General features: G+C 39.2%; 1 protein-coding gene across 43 annotated transcripts in view, besides 3 other annotated features; it reads right to left on the bottom strand.

The window, feature by feature from the left end:
• Positions 1 to 19,234, bottom strand: part of CNTRL (centriolin) — a 102,656-nt gene that overhangs the window by 38,434 nt on the left and 44,988 nt on the right. For 34 of the 43 annotated variants that reach the window (XM_047422667.1, XM_047422671.1, XM_047422669.1 and 31 more), the window contains 4 exons: positions 15,093 to 15,246; positions 13,241 to 13,461; positions 3,195 to 3,371; positions 498 to 632 (listed from right to left, as the gene is read on the bottom strand). In XM_047422667.1, the coding sequence (XP_047278623.1) occupies positions 498 to 632; positions 3,195 to 3,371; positions 13,241 to 13,461; positions 15,093 to 15,246 (687 nt within the window). Of the gene's footprint in view, positions 1 to 497; positions 633 to 3,194; positions 3,372 to 13,240; positions 13,462 to 15,092; positions 15,247 to 17,225; positions 17,408 to 19,234 lie in introns of those variants that run through there. The other 9 variants (XM_047422677.1, XM_047422681.1, XM_011518170.3 and 6 more) reach the window with 2 other exon arrangements.
• Positions 17,107 to 17,306: an enhancer, noted in NCBI's record as "active region_28917". NCBI's record gives its function as "activates an Ori minimal core promoter by ATAC-STARR-seq in GM12878 lymphoblastoid cells {active_cell/tissue: GM12878}" and the evidence as "EXISTENCE:reporter gene assay evidence [ECO:0000049][PMID:35858748]".
• Positions 17,261 to 17,762: an enhancer, noted in NCBI's record as "NANOG hESC enhancer chr9:123883693-123884194 (GRCh37/hg19 assembly coordinates)". NCBI's record gives its function as "activates a minimal SCP1, AML or CMV promoter by ChIP-STARR-seq in naive H9 embryonic stem cells {active_cell/tissue: H9 hESC(naive)}" and the evidence as "EXISTENCE:reporter gene assay evidence [ECO:0000049][PMID:30033119]".
• Positions 17,337 to 17,386: an enhancer, noted in NCBI's record as "active region_28916". NCBI's record gives its function as "activates an Ori minimal core promoter by ATAC-STARR-seq in GM12878 lymphoblastoid cells {active_cell/tissue: GM12878}" and the evidence as "EXISTENCE:reporter gene assay evidence [ECO:0000049][PMID:35858748]".

The raw sequence follows: 19,234 nt of genomic DNA, 5'->3' as shown, positions 1-19,234 counted from the left end.
TACATTCCCACAAATAAAAAATGATGACATTTTTAATAGCATCCTTTCCGAGAAGAGGGTAGTGAAAACTATTTACAGATAAGAAATCCCACTGCAACTCACTCTAGTTAAATTCCTGGATAATTACAAAGACATTTCAGTGGAAGAGGATGCACCAATCTGATCCTTTTAGTTTGGTCTGGTGACAAATCTGCTTTTAGAAGAAAAGCAAGATACTGCTTTTGCCCATGAGTTTACACAGTATATTGTTTACTACTGACACTGCCTCTATCTCTTTGCACCATCATAAAAACAAAAGGAGATTCACAAATAATAATCTTAAAACAATGGTCACAAGAGAACAGGAGCTATGGTGCTGCTCCACCCAGAATTCCCTTTTTTCTAGTAATTCAAATTGCTTACTACATGTTAGAGCAGGTTGCTAAGTGCCTGACTAAAGATATCATCATCTTTGGGTGTTCTGTGTAAGAATGTATTCTAAAACAACAAATCTCTACCTGCAAGTGTTTAAGTTTTGCATGGAGCTCACTGTTCTCTTGCTCCTTTTCTTCTGAGAACTGGGCTTTTCCAAGGGCATTCTTGAGGGCTTGCCTTTCCTTCTCAAGTTCTGCTTGAAGGGCTGATTGTTCTAACTGTCACCATAGGAAGCAATGACATGAAAGTGTAAAACAGCAATAATTTATGATTTTAAAAGGCACAAATAAATTTACATATACACACAATCCCTTGCTAGCTATAGTTTTACAACTCAATTTTATGTTTGTACTCCCAAATTTAAAAACCAAAGATAATTTTTTCACACAATCCTTAAACTATTATTAACACTTAAGAAGGAGTAAGCATCAGAATCAGCTCAGCCCAAATACACCAAATCAGAATCTTCAGGGGTGGGCCGAGGCACCTACCTTTAAAAGTTCTGCAAGTGATCCAACAATTATTGCTCTCCTTTCCCTTAGACTAGTATTTCTCAAACTGTGGTCCTCAAAAAAACTGTATCAACACTAGGTATGTCTGTTAAAAATGCAGACACCTAAACTCTATCTCAGAAAAGAGATTCTGGATCAGAATCTCTAGAGTGGGTGGGGCCAAGGAATCTGTATTTATCAAGCATCACAAGTGAGTTCATGCAACTAAAGTTTACCAATCAGAGATCTGTAGATCTTCAGATCAGAGACAGGAGATCTGTTATGCTTCATATTCTCAATGTGTGGTTTGAAGACCAATCCTGGCAGTCTTGGTGCTGAGGGAGGGGGAATGTCCCTTTCAATACCAAGTGAATTGGTGAAAAGGCCAGGCTCTTAAAATAATTTTGTCAAGACTTATGAGAAGAAAATAAAAGCCAATCAAAGTACAAAGGACAGTGTATTTCAAGCTAGTACAGTCTGGCTTGAAAAGAGGAGAATTTATTAAGGAAAATGCCATCTAGAAATTTTATTTATTATTATTTTAAAATATTTACTGTTATTTTAATTGTTTTCCTAAAACCTCCTGATTTCTGAGACTCTGATCTTGTCAACTATACTTCTACAAAACTCGGTACTCGAGAAATACAATCCTGACAACTGTCAAGTGATGATCTGATATCTCATAAGTAAAGAAATATACATAATTACTATAATAAACCAGATATATTTCTAGTTCCTTTTCTAACCATATGAATTATTTTTACATGCATTCCTGAGATTCAAAATATCTTATTTATTTCATTTTCATCAAATAGGCACATATTGACGCTTCTCATATGCCAGGCACAGAAAAAGCAGAAACAAACAGATACAATTTGGGCATTCACTGAGCTCTGAGTCTAGCTGGGGTAAAACAAACAGATCATCTAGGAGCATCTAAACAGATGATCATCATATGCATGATAAATACCTTTACTGTGCACAGGTTATAGGAAAACCAAAGTAGAGTCCTGAACCCAGATTTTCAGCAGGCAGAAAGGAAAGGTTGAGGTGGGCTTCCTGAAAGAAGATGCAGCTCATCTGGCTAATAAATTGTATTTTTAATCTGATAAAGAATATATTACAACTGGCCTCTGCCTGCCTCTCTGCCTTTACCTCTCATTCTCTTTCCTCACTCCTCTCCCTGCTCCTGGCATCCTGGAGGCATACGTTCAGCACTTCAAATGTACTATATGCTCTCTCTCCTCACCTCTCTGCCTAGAATACAAATACCTTACCTTTACTCCTTTCACCCTGTCCCCTCTGCGTGGCCAAATCCTACTCATCCATCAGCCATCAGCTGAAACATCATTTCTGTAGGGTGGTCTTCCCTGACTACTTCCTCCTTGGCCAAAGAATCCTGTCCCTTTCTTTCTTCCATACCTGTTTCACTTGCTGGACTAAAGTTTACCAATCAGAGATCTGTCAGCTCCACAGGATGGTGACCATGTCTGTGCTTTCCCTAGAGAATCCACAGTACCTGGCCCTCAATGGCCAATCAATAAATATTTATTGGATATGTTTTCTGTAACTTGCAAGTATAATTTAAACTAGTGGATCTTTCAACCAACCCTAAAAGGAGACAGCAAACTACAACTTATCATCAACCTAAAAGAGGTCTCGGCCAGGCACGGTGGCCCATGCCTGTAATCCCAGCACTTTGGGAGGCTGAGGTGGGTGGATCGCCTGAGGTCGGGAGTTTGTAGACCAGCCTGACCAACATGGTGAAACCCCATCTCTACTAACATACAAAAAATTGGCCAGGCATGGTGGCGCGCACCTGTAGTCCCAGCTACTCAGGAGGCTGAGGCAGGAAAATCACTTGAACCCAGGAGGCGGAGGTTGCAGTGAGCCGTCATCATGCCACTGTACTCCAGCCTAGCAACAGAGCAAGACTCTGTCTCAAAAAAAAAAGTCCTTAAACCTGTTCTAAGAAGGAAAAACTAGCATTTATTGAGTATCAACTGTCAGGTGCTTTCATGTCCATTATCTCATTTATCTTCCCCATAAGCCATTTTACACAGGAGGAAAAGGCTGGGAGGCTCAGAGCTATGAACTGATTTGCCCGTGTTCACACAGGGGTAGTTATTAGCACTCACAATGTCTGACTCCAAAATTCTGCCTTTCCCATCACTCCATATATATTGTATGAAAAAACGCTTAATTTTAAATTAAGACATAAATAAAAGAAGGATGATATCTTAAGGCACAGGGTCCTTAGTTTGCAGTTGGCTTCATGCTCCTACTTACCTGGGTAAGTCTTGTTACTTTTTCCAACTCTTCCTTGAGCTGGTTGGCTTCAGCATCCCTTAGGTTTAGCCGAGCCTCTAGCTCAGCTTCATAGGCACTGAGATCTCCCTGGGTCTGCTGCAAAGATGCATTCACCTCATGCTGCTCTTGGAGGGCACTTTCTAGCTCTGCAAGCTCCTAGAAAGATTCAGTGGGTTTAACTATGGAACCCTCACTGTGCTGCTTAAGCATTTGCAAGGCATTATAAGTAACTTGAGCACTGTAAACCAAATGCTGGCCAGCTACTGATGCCTGCCACAAAGTTTTCAGTAGCAATATGACGAAGCCTCAGGTTGTGCATATCCTGGTTGGAAAACAAAACCCTGGCTAAATGTAATCAAGAAAGTCAGTAAGCTCCCAACATATTGTTTTTCAAAGGGACCAGTTCTGTGATACTTATGAGTCTAAAAACATAAGGAGGAAGAAAGGAAGGAAAAAAAGAGTAGGATAAGATTTAATGCTTATTTTTCATCTGATGTTGGACAAAATGTTTTCATATTCATTATTTCATTGTATCTTCACAATAACTGTATAAGGCAACTTGCGGTTTTACAGATGAGGAATTGTAGAATGAATATCTAAGTAAATTGCACAGGGCTATGTAGCTAGAAAAAGGATAGTCAGCATACAAATGTAGATCTCCGACTCCAAAGCCCATACTCTCTCTATTAAACCATAGCATGTTCATTTATCAGAAGAACAAAATGGGACCGGCACTCTCTAATATTAAGGATGATAAGAGTACCTTAAATGAGTGCTAACAAGAATATAAGTACATATTTATTAGCATACCATGGTTCTGATTCATTTTAGTCCATTTGTGTTTTGTGATTAAACCTTATCTCTTTCATCTATTTACTTGGGATCAAACTATTACAGATTAAAGAGGAGGATTCTACGATGAGAACTTCTACAAAAGAATTGTCCAAAAACCACTTGGCAATTCAATCATTTGGGCTGCTTGTTTAAAATATAGATACTACATATAACCAACCAAAGATTATTATCCAGAATATGTAAAGAATTCCTACAAATCTTTAAGAAAAGGCAGAGACAGTTCAACAAAAAATAGAATAGGGAATTCACTCAAGAGGAAACTTGAACAGCAAATGAAAGGTGATCAGCCTCTCCAGTAACCAGGGGAAAATGCAGTTAACTTAAGATACTATTTTACATAGAACATAGAGATACAAGTTAAACACACCATGAGGAAACAATCAGTCAAACCCAGAACGTGGTTCAATCTACAGAATACCAGCCTGGATTTCACACACGCATGTGCACACACACACACATTCTTGGGACAATCAAGAAAATCTGAATATGGTTCAGATATTAGAGGACCTTAGGGCCGGGTACAGTGGCTCATGCCTGTAATCCCAGCACTTTGGGAGGCCAAGGCGGGTGGATCACGAAGTCAGGAGATTGAGACCATCCTGGCCAACATGGTGAAACCTATCTCTACCAAAACACACACACAAAAAAATTAGCCAGGCGTGGTGGCACACGCCTGTAGTCCCAGCTACTTAGGAGGCTGAGGCAGCGGAATCACTTGAACCTGGGAGGCGGAGGTTGCAGTGAGCGAAGATCATGCCACTGCATTCCCAGCCTGGTGACAGAGCAAGACTCCATCTCAAAAAAAAAAAAAAATAATAATGATATTAGAGGACATTAGGGAATTACCGTCATTTTTCTTAGGTGTAATAATGATATCGTAGTGATGCAGGAAAATGCTCTTAAAAAAATGTGTGTTGAAGGGATGATGTTATGATATCTACAACTTTCTAATGAGCAAAGGAAAAAAGTATGTGTCTATGAGAAAGAGAAAATAAATAAATCAAAATATTTATTGAATCCAAGAGGTTCACAGATGTTCACCAAACTATTTGTTCAACTTTCTTGTAACTGTAAACATCTTCACAATAGAAAGATGGAAAGAAGTCCTTTAAAGCTCAGCAGACTGGCAAACATGAAGTCTGATAAAATACTGAATTTCCTAAATTTGATAATTATTCTGTGTTTATGTTAGAAAATGTCCTTGTTCATAGGAAATACATACTGAAATATTTAGAAGCAAAGGAGCATGATGTCTACAACTGATTTCCAAATGGTTCAGGAAAAAAAATCTGTATAAAAATATATATAAAATTGAATCCCGTTCCGAGATGGCCAAATAGGAACAGCTTGGTCTGCAGCTCCCAGCGTGATCGACGCAGACGACGGGTGATTTCTGCATTTCCAACTGAGGTACCTGGTTTATCTCATTGGCACTGATTGGACAGTGGGTGCAGCCCATGGAGGGCGACCCGAAGCAGGGCAGGGCATCGCCTCACCCAGGAAATGCAAGGCGTCGGGGGATTTCCCTTTCCTAGCCAAGGGAAGCCGTACATTCACAGAAGACAGTACCTGGAAAAACAGGACACTCTCACCCAAATACTGTGCTTTTCCAATGGTCTTAGCAAACAGCACACCAGGAGATCATATCCCACACCTGGCTCAGCAGGTCCCATGCTCACAGAGCCTTGCTCACTGCTAGTGTAGCAGTCTGAGATAGACCTTGGAGGCAGCAGCCTGGCAGGGGGAGGGGCGTTCACCATTGCTGAGGCTTGAGTAGGTAAACACAGCAGCCAGGAAGCTCGAACTGGGCGGAGCCCACCGCAGCTCAGCAAGACCTCTGCCTCTACATGTAGACTCCACCTTTAGGAGCAGGGCATAGCTGAACAAAAGGCAGCAGAAACTTCTGCAGACTCAAACGTCCCTGTAGGACAGCTCTGAAGAGAGCAGTGGTTCTCCCAGCACAGTGTTTGAGCTCAGAGAACGGACAGACTGCCTCCTCAAGTGGGTCCCTGACCCCCGTGTAGCCTAACTGGGAGACACCTCCCAGTAGGGGCCAACTGACACATCATACAGGCGGGTGCCCCTCTGGGAAGAAGCTTCCAGAGGAAGGATTAGGCAGCAATATTTGCTGTTCTGCAGCCTCTACTTGTGATACCGAGGCAAACAGGGTCTGGAGTGGACCTCTAGCAAACTCCAACAGACCAGCAGCTGAGGGACCTGACTGTTAGAAGGAAAACTAACAAACAGAAAGGAATAGCCTTAACATCAACAAAAAGGACATCCACACCAAAACCCCATCTGGAGGTAGACCAAAGACCAAAGGCCAAAGGTAGATAAAACCACAAAGATGGGGAGAAACCACAGCAGAAAAGCTGAAAATTCTAAAAACCGAGCGCCTCTTCTCCTCCAAAGGATGGCAGCTTCTCACCAGCAACAGAACAAAGCTGGATGGAGAATGACTCTGATGAGCTGACAGAAGTAGGCTTCAGAAGGTCAGTAATAACAAACTTCTTCAAGCTAAAGGACGATGTTTGAACCCATTGAAAGGAAGCTAAAAACCTTGAAAAAAGATTAGACGAATGGCTAATTAGAATAAAGAGTGTAGAGAAGACCTTAAATGACCTGATGGAGCTGAAAACCATGGCATGAGAACTACGTAACACATGCACAAGCTTCAGTAGCCAATTTGATCAAGTGGAAGAAAGGGTATCAGTGACTGAAGATCAAATTAACGAAATAAAGCAAGAAGAGAAGTTTAGAGAAAAAAGAGTAAAAAGAAATGAACAAAGCCTCCAAGAAATATGGGACTATGTGAAAAGACCAAATCTACGTTTGAATGGTGTACCTGAAAAGTGACAGGGAGAATGGAACTAAGTTGGAAAACACTCTTCAGGATATTATCCAGGAGAACTTCCCTAACCTAGCAAGGCAGGCCAACATTCAAATTCAGGAAATACAGAGAACACCACAAAGATACTCCTCGAGAAGAGCAACTCCAAGACACATAATTGTCAGATTCCCTAAGGTTGACATGAAGGAAAAAATGTAAGGGCAGCCAGAGAGAAAGGCTGGGTTACCCACAAAGGGAAGCCCATCAGACTAACAGCAGATCTCTCAGAAACTCTACAAGCCAGAAGAGAGTAGAGGCCAATATTCAACATTCTTAAAAGAAAATAATTTTCAACCCAGAATCTCATATTCAACCAAACTAAGCTTCATGAGTGAAGGAGAAATAAAATCCTTTACAGACAAGCAAATGCTGAGAGATTTTGTCACCACCAGGCCTGCCTTACAAGAGCTCCTGAAGGAAGCACTAAACATGGAAAGGAACAACCCGTACCAGCCACTGCAAAAACATGCCAAATTGTAAAGACCATCAATGCCAGGAAGAAACTGCATCAACTAACGGACAAAATAACCAGCTAGCATCATAACAACAGGATCAAATCCACACATAACAATATTAACCTTAAATGTAAATGGGCTAAATGCCCCCAATTAAAAGACACAGACTGGCAAATTGGATAAAGAGTCAAGACCCATCAGTGTGCTATATTCAGGAGACCCATCTCATGTGCAGAGACACACATAGGTTCAAAATAAAGGAATGGAGGAAGATCTACCAAGCAAATGGAAAGCAAAAAAAAGCAGGGCCTGCAATCCTAGTCTCTGATAAAACAGACTTTAAACCAACAAAGATCAAAAGCGACAAAGAAGGGTATTACATAATGGTGAAGGGATCAATTCAACAAGAAGGGCTGACTATCCTAAACATATATGCACCCAATACAGGAGAACCCAGATTCATAAAGCAAGTCCTTAGAGACCTACAAAGAGACTTAGACTCCTACACAATAATAATGGGAGACTTTAACACCCCACTGTCAATATTAGACAGATCAACAAGACAGAAGGTTAACAAGGATATCCAGGAATTGAACTCAGCTCTGCACCAAGCAGACCTAATAGATATCTACAGAATTCTCCACCCCAAATCAACAGAATATACATTCTTCTCAGCACCACATCTCACTTATTCCAAAATTGACCACATAGTTGGAAGTAAAGCACTCCTCAAAAAATGTAAAAGAACAGAAATCACAACAAACTGTCTCTCAGACCACAGTGCAATCAAATTAGAACTCAGGATTAAGAAACTCACTCAAAACCACTCAACCACATGGAAACTAAACGACCTGCTCCTAATGACTACTGGATACACAATGAAATGAAGGCAGAAATAAAGATGTTCTTTGAAACCAATGAGAACAAAGACACAACATACCAGAATCTCTAGGACACATTTAAAGCAGTGTGTAAAGGGAAATGTATAGCACTAAATGCCCACAAGAGAAAGCAGGAAAGATCTAAAATCAATACCCTAACAACACAACTAAAAGAACTAGAGAAGCAAGAGCAAACACATTCAAAAGCTAGCAGAAGGCAAGAAACAACTAAGATCAGAGCCAAACTAAAGGGGATAGAGACACAAAAAACCCTTCAAAAGAATCAGTGAATCCAGGAGCTGGTTTTTTGAAAAGATCAACAAAATAGATAGACCGCTAGCAAGACTAACAAAGAAGAAAAGAGGGTAGAATCAAATAGATGCAATAAAAAATGATAAAGAGGGTATCACCACCAATCCCACAGAGATACAAACTACCATCAGAGAATACTATAAACACCTTTATGCAAATAAACTAGAAAATCTAGAAGAAATGGATAAATTCCTGGACACATACACCCTCCCAAGACTAAACCAGGAAGAAGTTGAATCTCTGAATAGACCAATAACAGGATCTGAAATTGAGGCAATAATTAATAGCCTACCAACCAAAAAAACTCCAGGACCAGATGGATTCACAGCTGAATTCTACCAGAGGTACAAAGAGGAGCTGGTACCATTCCTTCTGAAACTCTTCCAATGAATAGAAAAAGAGGGAATCCTAACTCATTTTATGAGGCCAGCATCATCCTGATACCAAAGCCTGGCAGAGACACAACAAAAAAAGAGAATTTTAGACCAATATCCCTGATGAATATCGATGTGAAAATCCTCAATAAAATACTGGCAAACCGAATCCAGCAGCACATCAAAAAGCTTATCCACCACGATCAAGTCGGCTTCATCCCTGGGATGCAAGGCTGGTTCAACATACACAAATCAATAAACATAATCCATCACATAAACAGAACTAATGACAAAAACCACATGATATCTCAATAGATGCAGAAAAGGCCTTCAACAAACTTCAATTGCCCTTCATGCTAAAAACTGTCAATAAACTAGGTATTGATGGCACGTATCTCAAAATAATAAGAGCTATTTATGACAAACCCACAGCCAATATCATACTGAATGGGCAAAAACTGGAAGCATTCCCTTTGAAAACTGGCACAAGACAGGGATGCCCTCTCTCACCACTCCTATTCAACATAGTGTTGGAAGTTCCGGCCAGGGCAATCAGAAAAGAGAAAGAAATAAAGGGTATTCAATTAGGAAAAGAGGAAGTCAAATTGTCTCAGTTTGCAGATGACATGATTGTATATTTAGAAAACCCCATCGTCTCAGCCAAAATCTCCTTAAGCTGATATGCAACTTCAGCAAAGTCTCAGGATACAAAAATCAATGTGCAAAAATCACATGCATTCCTATACACCAATAATAGACAGAGAGCCAAATCGTGAGTGAACTCCCATTCACAATTGCTACAAAGAGAGTAAAATACCTAGGAATCCAACTTACAAGGGATGTGAAGGACGTCTTCAAGAACTACAAACCACAGCTCAACAAAATAAAAGAGGACACAAACAAATGGAAGAACATTCCATGCTCATGGGTAGGAAGAATCAATACCGTGAAAATGGCCATACTGCCCAAGGTAATTTATAGATTCAATGCCATTCCCATCAAGCTACCAATGACTTTCTTCACAGAGTTCGAAAAAACTACTTTAAAGTTCATATGGAACCAAAAAAGAGCCTGCATTGCCAAGACAATCCTAAGCAAAAAGAACAAAGCTGGAGGCATCACGCTACCTGACTTTAAACTATACTACAAGGCTACAGTAAACAAAACAACATGGTACTGGTACCAAAACAGATATATAGACCAATGGAACAGAACAGAGACTGCAGAAATAAATAACACCACACATCTACAACCATCTGATCTTTGACAAACCTGACAAAAACAAGAAATGGGGAAAGGATCACTAATAAATGGTGCTGGGAAAACTGGCTAGCCATATGTAGAAAGCTGAAACTGGATCTCTTCCTTACACCTTATACAAAAATTAATTCAAGATAGATTAAAGACTTACATGTTAGACCTAAAACCATAAAAATCCTAGAAGAAAACCTAGGCAATACTATTCAGGACATAGGCATGGGCAAGGACTTCATGACTAAAACACCAAAAGCAATGGCAACAAAAGCCAAAATAGACAAATGGGATCTAATTAAACCAAAGAGCTTCTGCACAGCAAAAGAAACTACCATCAGAGTGAACAGGCAACCTACAGAATGGGAGAAAATTTTTGCAATCTGCTCATCTGACAAAGGGCTAATATCCAGAATCTACAAAGAACTTAAACAAATTTACAAGAAAAAAACAACCCCATCAAAAAGGGGGCAAAGGATACGAATAGACATTTCTCAAAAGAAGACATTTATGCAGCCAACAGACACATGAAAAAATGCTCATCATCACTGGCCATCAGAGAAATGCAAATCAAAACCACAATGAGATACCATTTCACACCAGTTAGAATGGTGATCATTAAAAAGTCAGGAAACAACAGATGCTGGAGAGGATGTGGAGAAACAGGAATGCTTTTACACTGTTGGTGGGAGTGTAAACTAGTTCAACCTTTGTGGAAGACAATGTGGCGATTCCTCAAGGATCTAGAACTAGAAATACCATTTGACCCAGCGATCCCATTACTGGGTATATACCCAAAGGATTATAAATCATGCTACTATAAAGACACATGCACACATGTGTTTATTGCGGCACTATTCATAATAGCAAAAACTTGGAACCAACCCAAATGTCCATCAACGATAGACTGGATTAAGAAAATGCAGCACATATAAACCATGGAATACTATGCAGCCATAAAAAAGGATGAGTTCATGTCCTTTGCAGGGACATGGATGCAGCTGGAAACCATCATTCTTTGCAAACTATCACAAGGACAGAAAACCAAACACCGCATGTTCTCACTCATAGGTAGGAACTGAATAATGAGAACACTTGGACACAGGGCAGGGAACATCACACACCGGGGCCTGTCGTGGGGTGGGGGGAGGGGGGAGGGATAGCATTAGGAGATATACCTAATGTAAATGACGAGTTAATGGGTGCAGCAAACCAACGTGAAACATGTATACCTATGTAACAAATCTGCATGTACCCTAGAACTTAAAGTATAATAATAATTAAAAAGTATATAAAATCATGTAGAAATTACATATGAGGAGATAAAGCAAATGTGTTAAAATAGTAATTGGTGACTCTCGGTGAAAGGCAAATGTGAGTTATTTGTATTCCTCTTGCAACTTTCCTGCAAGTTTGGAGTTATTTCAAAATATAAGCTTTAAAAAAAAGTTGGACAACACTACAGCGTTGGCAAGGATGTGGCAAGAATGGTAGCCCCCACATTGCTGGTGGGAGTAGAAGCTGATAAACTCACTATGAAAAGTAATTTGACAATATCTACTGAACTTAATGAAGGATGGACATACTCTGACCCACAGTTCTGCTTCTGAGCATAGTCCCCATGTGTTCAAGATGTGTGCAGGAATGTTATGCTCAGCATTGTTTGCAATAGCATAACACTGGAAATCACCTAAATGCACCCCAAAAAGAGAAGGAATAAATAATAAATTTGTGGTATGTCCATAAAGCAGGATGGTACATATATCAGTAAAAATGAACAAAGTAGAACTACATCTATCAGTGTGCATAATTCTCGAAAACATAGGCCAGGCGCTGTGGCTCACACCTGTAATCCGAGCACTTTCAGAGGCCAAGGCAGGCGGATCACCTGAGGTCGGGAGTTCGAGACCAGCCTGACCAACATGGAGAAACCCCATCTCTACTAAAAATACAAAATTAGCCGGGCAGGTGGTGAATGCCTGTACTCCCAGCTACTCGGGAGGCTGAGGCAGGAGAATCGCTTCAACCCAGGAGGCGGAGGATGCAGTGAGCCGAGATTGCGCCACTGCACTCCAGCCTGGGCAACAAGAGCGAAAATTCATCTCAAAAAAAAACCAAAACAAACAAACAAAAACATAAACATGAAGGAAGAAAGAAAGTGGCCAAATATGTACACTATGATACATTTTGTATAAGTCTTAAAATCAAGGAAAATACTATATATTGCTTATGGATGTTTACATATATAATAAAAGAATAGAGGTGCAGGGAAATAATAACCATATTCAGAACTTTGTTACTTCTGGAAAGGAGTAGACAGAGGATTTCAAATGTACCTATAATGTTTTATTTCTTAAGCTGGGTTGTCAGTACATGATGTTAAATATTATTTGTGATTTTTTAAATATGCCTGAGATATTTCATAATATTAAAATATATTAATTCAATTTCTGGAGCCAGCTCTACTGAACAAGAAGTTTGGAAATCTCTAGTTCTCATGTATGATAACATTTTCCAAACAACTAAAATAGAGCAAGGGAAATCTCCAAACGAATGTGCAACAAATCAGGTTCATAAGGATATAATTTAAAACAATATGTCTGTTTTGTTAGCTATAAAATAATGTTAAAATTATCCAGTAACAACAAGACTAAGAAAAACCATTCTGTGCTCAATTTTTCAGCACAAATAAAATATGAGCATTTAATACAATATTTGTAATAGCTACCATTTCATATTCTTTAGAGTTATTTGGCAACAATACCTTTCAGGGATAGAAATGCAGCTTAAATAATCTTCCTTTTCTGAGCAAAGAAAAAATAATAATTCCAAATGTATCACAGCTAAAGAAGAAAAAAAAAAGCCCAACTGTTAAAAGAAAAAAATCACCATATAGCCACTAATACTTTTTCCCACTTAAAAATGTACTGTTACCTCCTCCAACTAACTTAATTTGGACATTATCTACTTATGAAGCTACGGAAAATAGGCAGGAAAAAAATCATACCTTCCTCATATTTTCTGCATCCATGGCAACTATTTCCAGCTGGTCTCTCTCCTGCTCGACTTCTGTCAATCTCTGCAACAATGTCTCTTTCTCATCCCGCAGCTTCCTGCACTCATTCTGGGCCTGAGTTGCCTGGCCTTTAATGGTCCCCAGGTATTCTTGCAACCCACTGATAACACCTTCTAAATCCTTCTTCAGGGCTTCATTTGCTGCTATCTGGCCTAAGCAAGATGCAAAAAGGGTAATAATATATCTTTTTAAAGTACTGCATTGTCTGCTCAGCATTTTGTTATAAGCCAAGAGTGAAATTCTAAGCTTTCAATTCTTTCCTATCATTTTTCTTTTTCAAAACATAATGTTAAATTTTCTTCCTATTATAGATAGCAAAGGAGTATTAAGCAGGTATAAAATAAAAATAGTACATTTAGGGGGCAATGCTTATAAAATGCCTGATTCATGCTGTAAAAAGTTTAATTTCGGCCGGGTGTGGTGGTTCAAGCCTGTAATCCCAGCACTTTGGGAGGCCAAGGCAGGCGGATCATGAGGTCAGGAGATCGAGACCATCCTGGCTAACACAGTGAAACCCCGTCTCTATTAAAAATACAAAAAATTAGCCGGGCATGTGCCTGTAGTCCCTGCTACTCACGAGGCTGAGGCAGGAGGATCACTTGAACCCAGGAGGCAGAGGTTGCAGTGAGCCAAGATCACGCCACTGCACTCCAGCCTGGGTGACAGAGCGAGGCTCCGTCTCAAAAAAAAAAAAAAAGTTTAATTTACAAATAAAATAAAAAATATGTACCAAAACTGTGAGTTCTTGCTGCTAAATACAAAGAACAAGACCACCTAGTATATAAGATGAATCCAAGACTGGCAACATAAATGTGTAACCTAAACACTTAGAACACAAACACACACATCCCATGTACAGTACTGGATACGCACTATGTGCCAGGAACTTTATGAACACTATCTCTCTCTTTTTTTTTTTTTTTCAGACAAAGTTTCACTCTGTCACCTAGGCTGGAGTGCAGTGGCACAATCACGGTTCACTGTAGCCTCAACCTCCCTGAGCTCAGGTGATCCTCCACCCTCAGTCTCCCAAGCAGATGGTGCCACAAGCACACATACCACTACGCCTGGCTAATTTTTTTTTTTTTTTTTTGTAGAGACGGGGTTTCGCCATGTTGCCCATGCTGATCTCGAACTCCTGGGCTCAAATGATATGCCCGCCTCAGCCTCCCAAAGTGCTAGGATTACAGGCGTGAGCCACCACTCCTGGCCTATGAATACTAGCTCATTTAATTCTCCCAACAACTAATGATTGAGATAAAAACAACTTGTCCAAGGCGACACAGCTGACAGTAGCAAAACAGAGAGCAGGATCTTTTTACACTGAGCCCTATGTGTAAAAACCACTATGGCCTATTGTCTTCCTTTTCCACTATTATGGATATGTCGCAGTTTAAATCAGCATTGCAAAACTAGATCCTAAAACTCTTTCTTCTTATAACCAGACACTGAATTCCCTGATGCCAATGGGTGCTTTGCTCCTGAATGGATTTTATGTCATAGACAATCACATGCCAGAGCTTATCATGATCACGTATTGACTTCTGGCCTACTGACTGGAATGACCTGACTCACTAGGCATCAATGCCACAAAACAAAACAAAAACAAAACTCTTAAAATTGCATTAACTACTTTTGGGTATCCTGTAAATATTTCCCTATCAAATACTAGTACTAATAGGTGAACTGTATTTAGCTACTATCTGGATTAATGCTTGTCTTTATAATGTTTCTTTTACCAGCAATAACACTGATTTACCTTAAATCATACTGAAAGTCTTACCTTCAGTAAGCTGTTCTTCAAGGTCCTTAATCTCTTCCGTTTCCTTAGCAATTCTAGAAAGTATCTCATCCAAACGACTTTCAAGTTGTTGGTACTGCTTGTTCATAATGTCAAGCTGTTGTTCTTTACCGCTCTTTTGAGCCTTCATATGGGACTGAATTAAAAAAAAAAATCAACAAAACTCCAAGTTCCTTAAACTCCTTTAAAAGTAATAACCCTTAACAACATTTTTAAAGGAAGAATAGAAAATAAATATAATAATTTGCATCTATTTGTGTCAGGCCCTATATTGTTTTCACATGGGTAGTTTTCATTTAAATTTCAGGATAACTTGATACGGAAATCATTTCCACTTTACAGGTGAGAAAACTGAGGATCAAAGAGGTTAAGTGGTTTTTCCAAGGGCACAGCTAGGTAGGTCAGTGTTATTTGCGTTGCATTAAATTGTCTCTCTCTCTCTTTTTTATTTATTTATTTATTTATTTTGAGATGGAGTCTGACTCCATCACCCAGGCTAGAGTGCAGAGGCACGATCTCAGCTCACTGCAACCTCCGCCTCCTGGGTTCAAGCAATTCTCCTGCCTCAGCCTCCCAAGTACCTGGGACTACAGGTGCGGGCCACCACACCCAGGTTGTTGTTTGTTTTTACTTTTTGTTGTTTTTTTTAGTACAGACGGGAGTTTCACCATGTTGGCCAGGCTGATCTGGAACTCCTGACCTCAAGTGATCTGCCGGCCTTGGCCTCCCAAATCGCTGGGATTACAGGCATGAGCCACCGTGCCCAGCCTAAAATGTGTCTTTTAAAAAAGGTTTCCAAAATTAGTTGGTTATGGCATATATCTATAGAAAAAGACTTAAAAACTATATCCCAAAATGCTAACAAGAATTATACCTGGGTGGAAGGATTACATGGGGATTTTTTCCTTTTGTAATGAGTATTTTTATATTTAAAAAACTTTTATAGTAGATAAGTAATGCCTTTTTAATAAAAAAATTAAATCTACTTTTTAAAAAAGGTTTCTTAGAAGAAAATAGAGGTATGAAATAGATAAAATACTTGAAATTCAAATTCACTTTCAATCTCTTACACAAACAAACATTTGGCTTTTCAATAAACTGAGAGCTGACAGGGACCTCAAAGACCACTTAGCCCGGTGAGTCTCAAAATGGAGGGCCCTAAGGAGGTATACCCCTCTACAACTACACTTAACCCATGGTGGAAAACAGAGCTTTCACACACCCACACACCCTCCCGCACCCTGAAGTCATGGCATCAGGGAACTACTGTTAACTGAAAAGAATGGATTGTATTTCTCAGGTGTGCTAGGGAAAGCAAATCGAGAGCCAATGATCTAGTCTAACCCTTCCTTTTAAACATGAGAAAACTGAATTTCAGATCCATCAAATGACTTGCATGTCTCCTGAGGCAACTGTTCATATGGAGACAAAATAATTCCCCAGAGAACCTTTGCCCTCCCACTCACACCTTCATGACTCTTAAGTTGGTACCCACAGGATCAGAGGAATACAACAATAAATGAAGAGAAAGTTATCGAAAGAGGGAACTGTATCAGTCAGAAAAATGAACACCAATGATCTCAAGTCTAAGACCCATGTGATTATAAAAGAATATTACTCAATTTTATGTATTTGCTTACCCCAAATACAAGAAAGAAACGTCTCTTCATTTCTGATGAACAAAAGAGTGGCAGCTTAACTGGAAGGTTTTTAATTTACTACTGGTAAAGCTTTATGGTATTTTGCAAACTCTTTTCCCTACACTCCCAAAATACCCATTTGAAATCTTTCTGAAAAGTTAACTACATATAACAGCTTACATTCTAAGTAAATTTCGGGTTTTTATGGCTCAAGAAATAATTTCTTAAAAGACTGCACTCATATCAATAAATCTTTAAAATTCACCATTAAAAATTCCACCAAAACCTTTATACGCAGGATAAAAATCTGGTTCAATATGCCAATGGTGTACATTAAATACATGGGAACAAAAGTAGATTCTGCGATTTACACCACGGTGGAGCTCACAAAAGAGTTATTGTAAAAACAGGAACTTACATCTCTGACTCCTCCTCCTTTTAAGTCCTTTGTACAGAGAGAGAAAAAATATCATACCTTAACTTAAAATTTATCCTGTTAAAACTGAGCCGTTGAGAACAGAGAAACTGTGGGCGGAACGCTTTCTAATGCTGTCTTCAAATTCATGTGCACTTCCCTCTCTGACAGCCACATTTTTGCAAGCGCCTCCGAGCCTCTGTAACTTCGCAGAGCCTCAAACCACATTCTTGGCCAAGAGTGAGCGGCGGCCCCGCCCATCCAATCACCAGCAGCCTCTGCGGGCAGGCCCCACCCTCCGCGAGTTAAATCATAACACAGGAAGCTCCCAGGGGCCAATCACGCCCAAACTTTGCAACAGATCACTACAGCTCGTTCCCTCTAGCGAACAGTTACCTTTTGCTTCCAATAGGACATTTCCCAATAGAGAAAAGCAATACAAATCTTCATTATGTTTGCTCCGGTGATAATTTGTGCTTCTATGAATAATTTTATAACTAAAATAGTCTGTGAATTTGAAACCTAGTTAAATGCTTATATTTGCTGAAAACCTGCCTAGGCTTAGTTCTGAGCTAATTTTAAAATAATCTCTTTAGACCTTTAATTGCTTTGTGAAGAGAGGGTCATTGTGGTAGCATAAGCAAGGGCTCCACCTCTTTCTAAAACAATAACTTAGGGGCAATTCACTTAATATTTCTATATCACATTTTCATCCTCTGCAAATTGAAAGAAAAATGGATAGATGTTAATAAAAGTTCCTCACCAGAACATGGAAAATACAGCACAATGTATGACACATTGTGGGCACTTAATATGTTGCTTTCTATAATATCTCATCAAAGTGAAGCTTTTACTTTTAAATTCTATTGGCTATTCAGAAAGATACTTCATCTGATTACATAAAAATTAATTAAATAAAAGTCTACCTATATCTATAGAAAAATATGCAGGCATCTCACTCTTGATTATTTCTCTTCTGCTTAAAGGCTCACATTTTGTAGCCTAAAATGGGATGCCAAACACTAGCCAATATGAAACTTTGTGAATCAGAAAAAGATGTTCCCGCTGGATAAACTTAAAAGAGATGTCCTCTGATGCTAGGACTAAGGCTGCAAACTTAAGAACTATTAGTAATTTTAATAAAATTAAAAAGGAAATTCAAATCTGGTTTGTATGTTTCATCCCCACTGCACAGGTTGATTTTAGCTAACTTCAAAACTTGGATGCCATTCCCATGTCTCATTTACCTCCTTTCCATGTATAATTCTCTACAGAAATCCAGTGGGAATTGAACTCTCTGTCCGCCAGAAATATAACAGTCATTTGTTGAAAGCAAACACATAATCCAGCTACTAATTAGACTCATAGATCACAGAACTGGAAGGGGAAGCAAAGGAGTTTTGGGTAGGATCTATAAGCTGCTTCCTTCCTCCCTTCCACAATGCAAGCATTCATAAACATAGGGCTGGTTGGTCCCTGGGGATACGGATACCAGTAGGATAGAGTTCATGTCTTCAGGGACCTTACATGGGTGGGAGATTGAACAAACATATGCAATAAAGTAAGATATTATTGACCACATTATACATTACTTAAAATACCCCATTTTTCCTCAAAATTATTTAAAATAATCAAGACTACTTTTGGTTTCAATATTAATACCTTGGTTTCAATTTTTAGGCTTTTGTTAGAAAAGACCTTATATCTGTCATAAGGTTATCCTTTATTGAAATTAGCTGGCCCACAAAAAAATATATATGATATGTACTAAAATGCTTAAAGGAACAGTTAAACAACTTGTCAAGTACTTAAAGCAATTACAATATCCTTACTATGTTAAATTCTATGATTTCTATTAATCCAGAGATCTTAAAGTTCTTTAAAAAAAAAACCCCTATTATTCAAGGTATACCAGGAGAATATGTAGAAGATATTTTTCCTTGTATTTTAGGAATATTAGCTAAAATATAAGCAATTAGTACAACTTCTTAGAGTAGAGACAGAGACAAGAGCCTGGCTGTATCCAGCCACCTGACCATATCTAGCCATATCTCAGGAAGAAACATTCC

Source organism: Homo sapiens, chromosome 9 (assembly GCF_000001405.40).
Source record: "Homo sapiens chromosome 9, GRCh38.p14 Primary Assembly".
NCBI lineage: Eukaryota > Metazoa > Chordata > Mammalia > Primates > Hominidae > Homo > Homo sapiens.
This window is presented reverse-complemented; position numbering and strand designations above follow the sequence as displayed.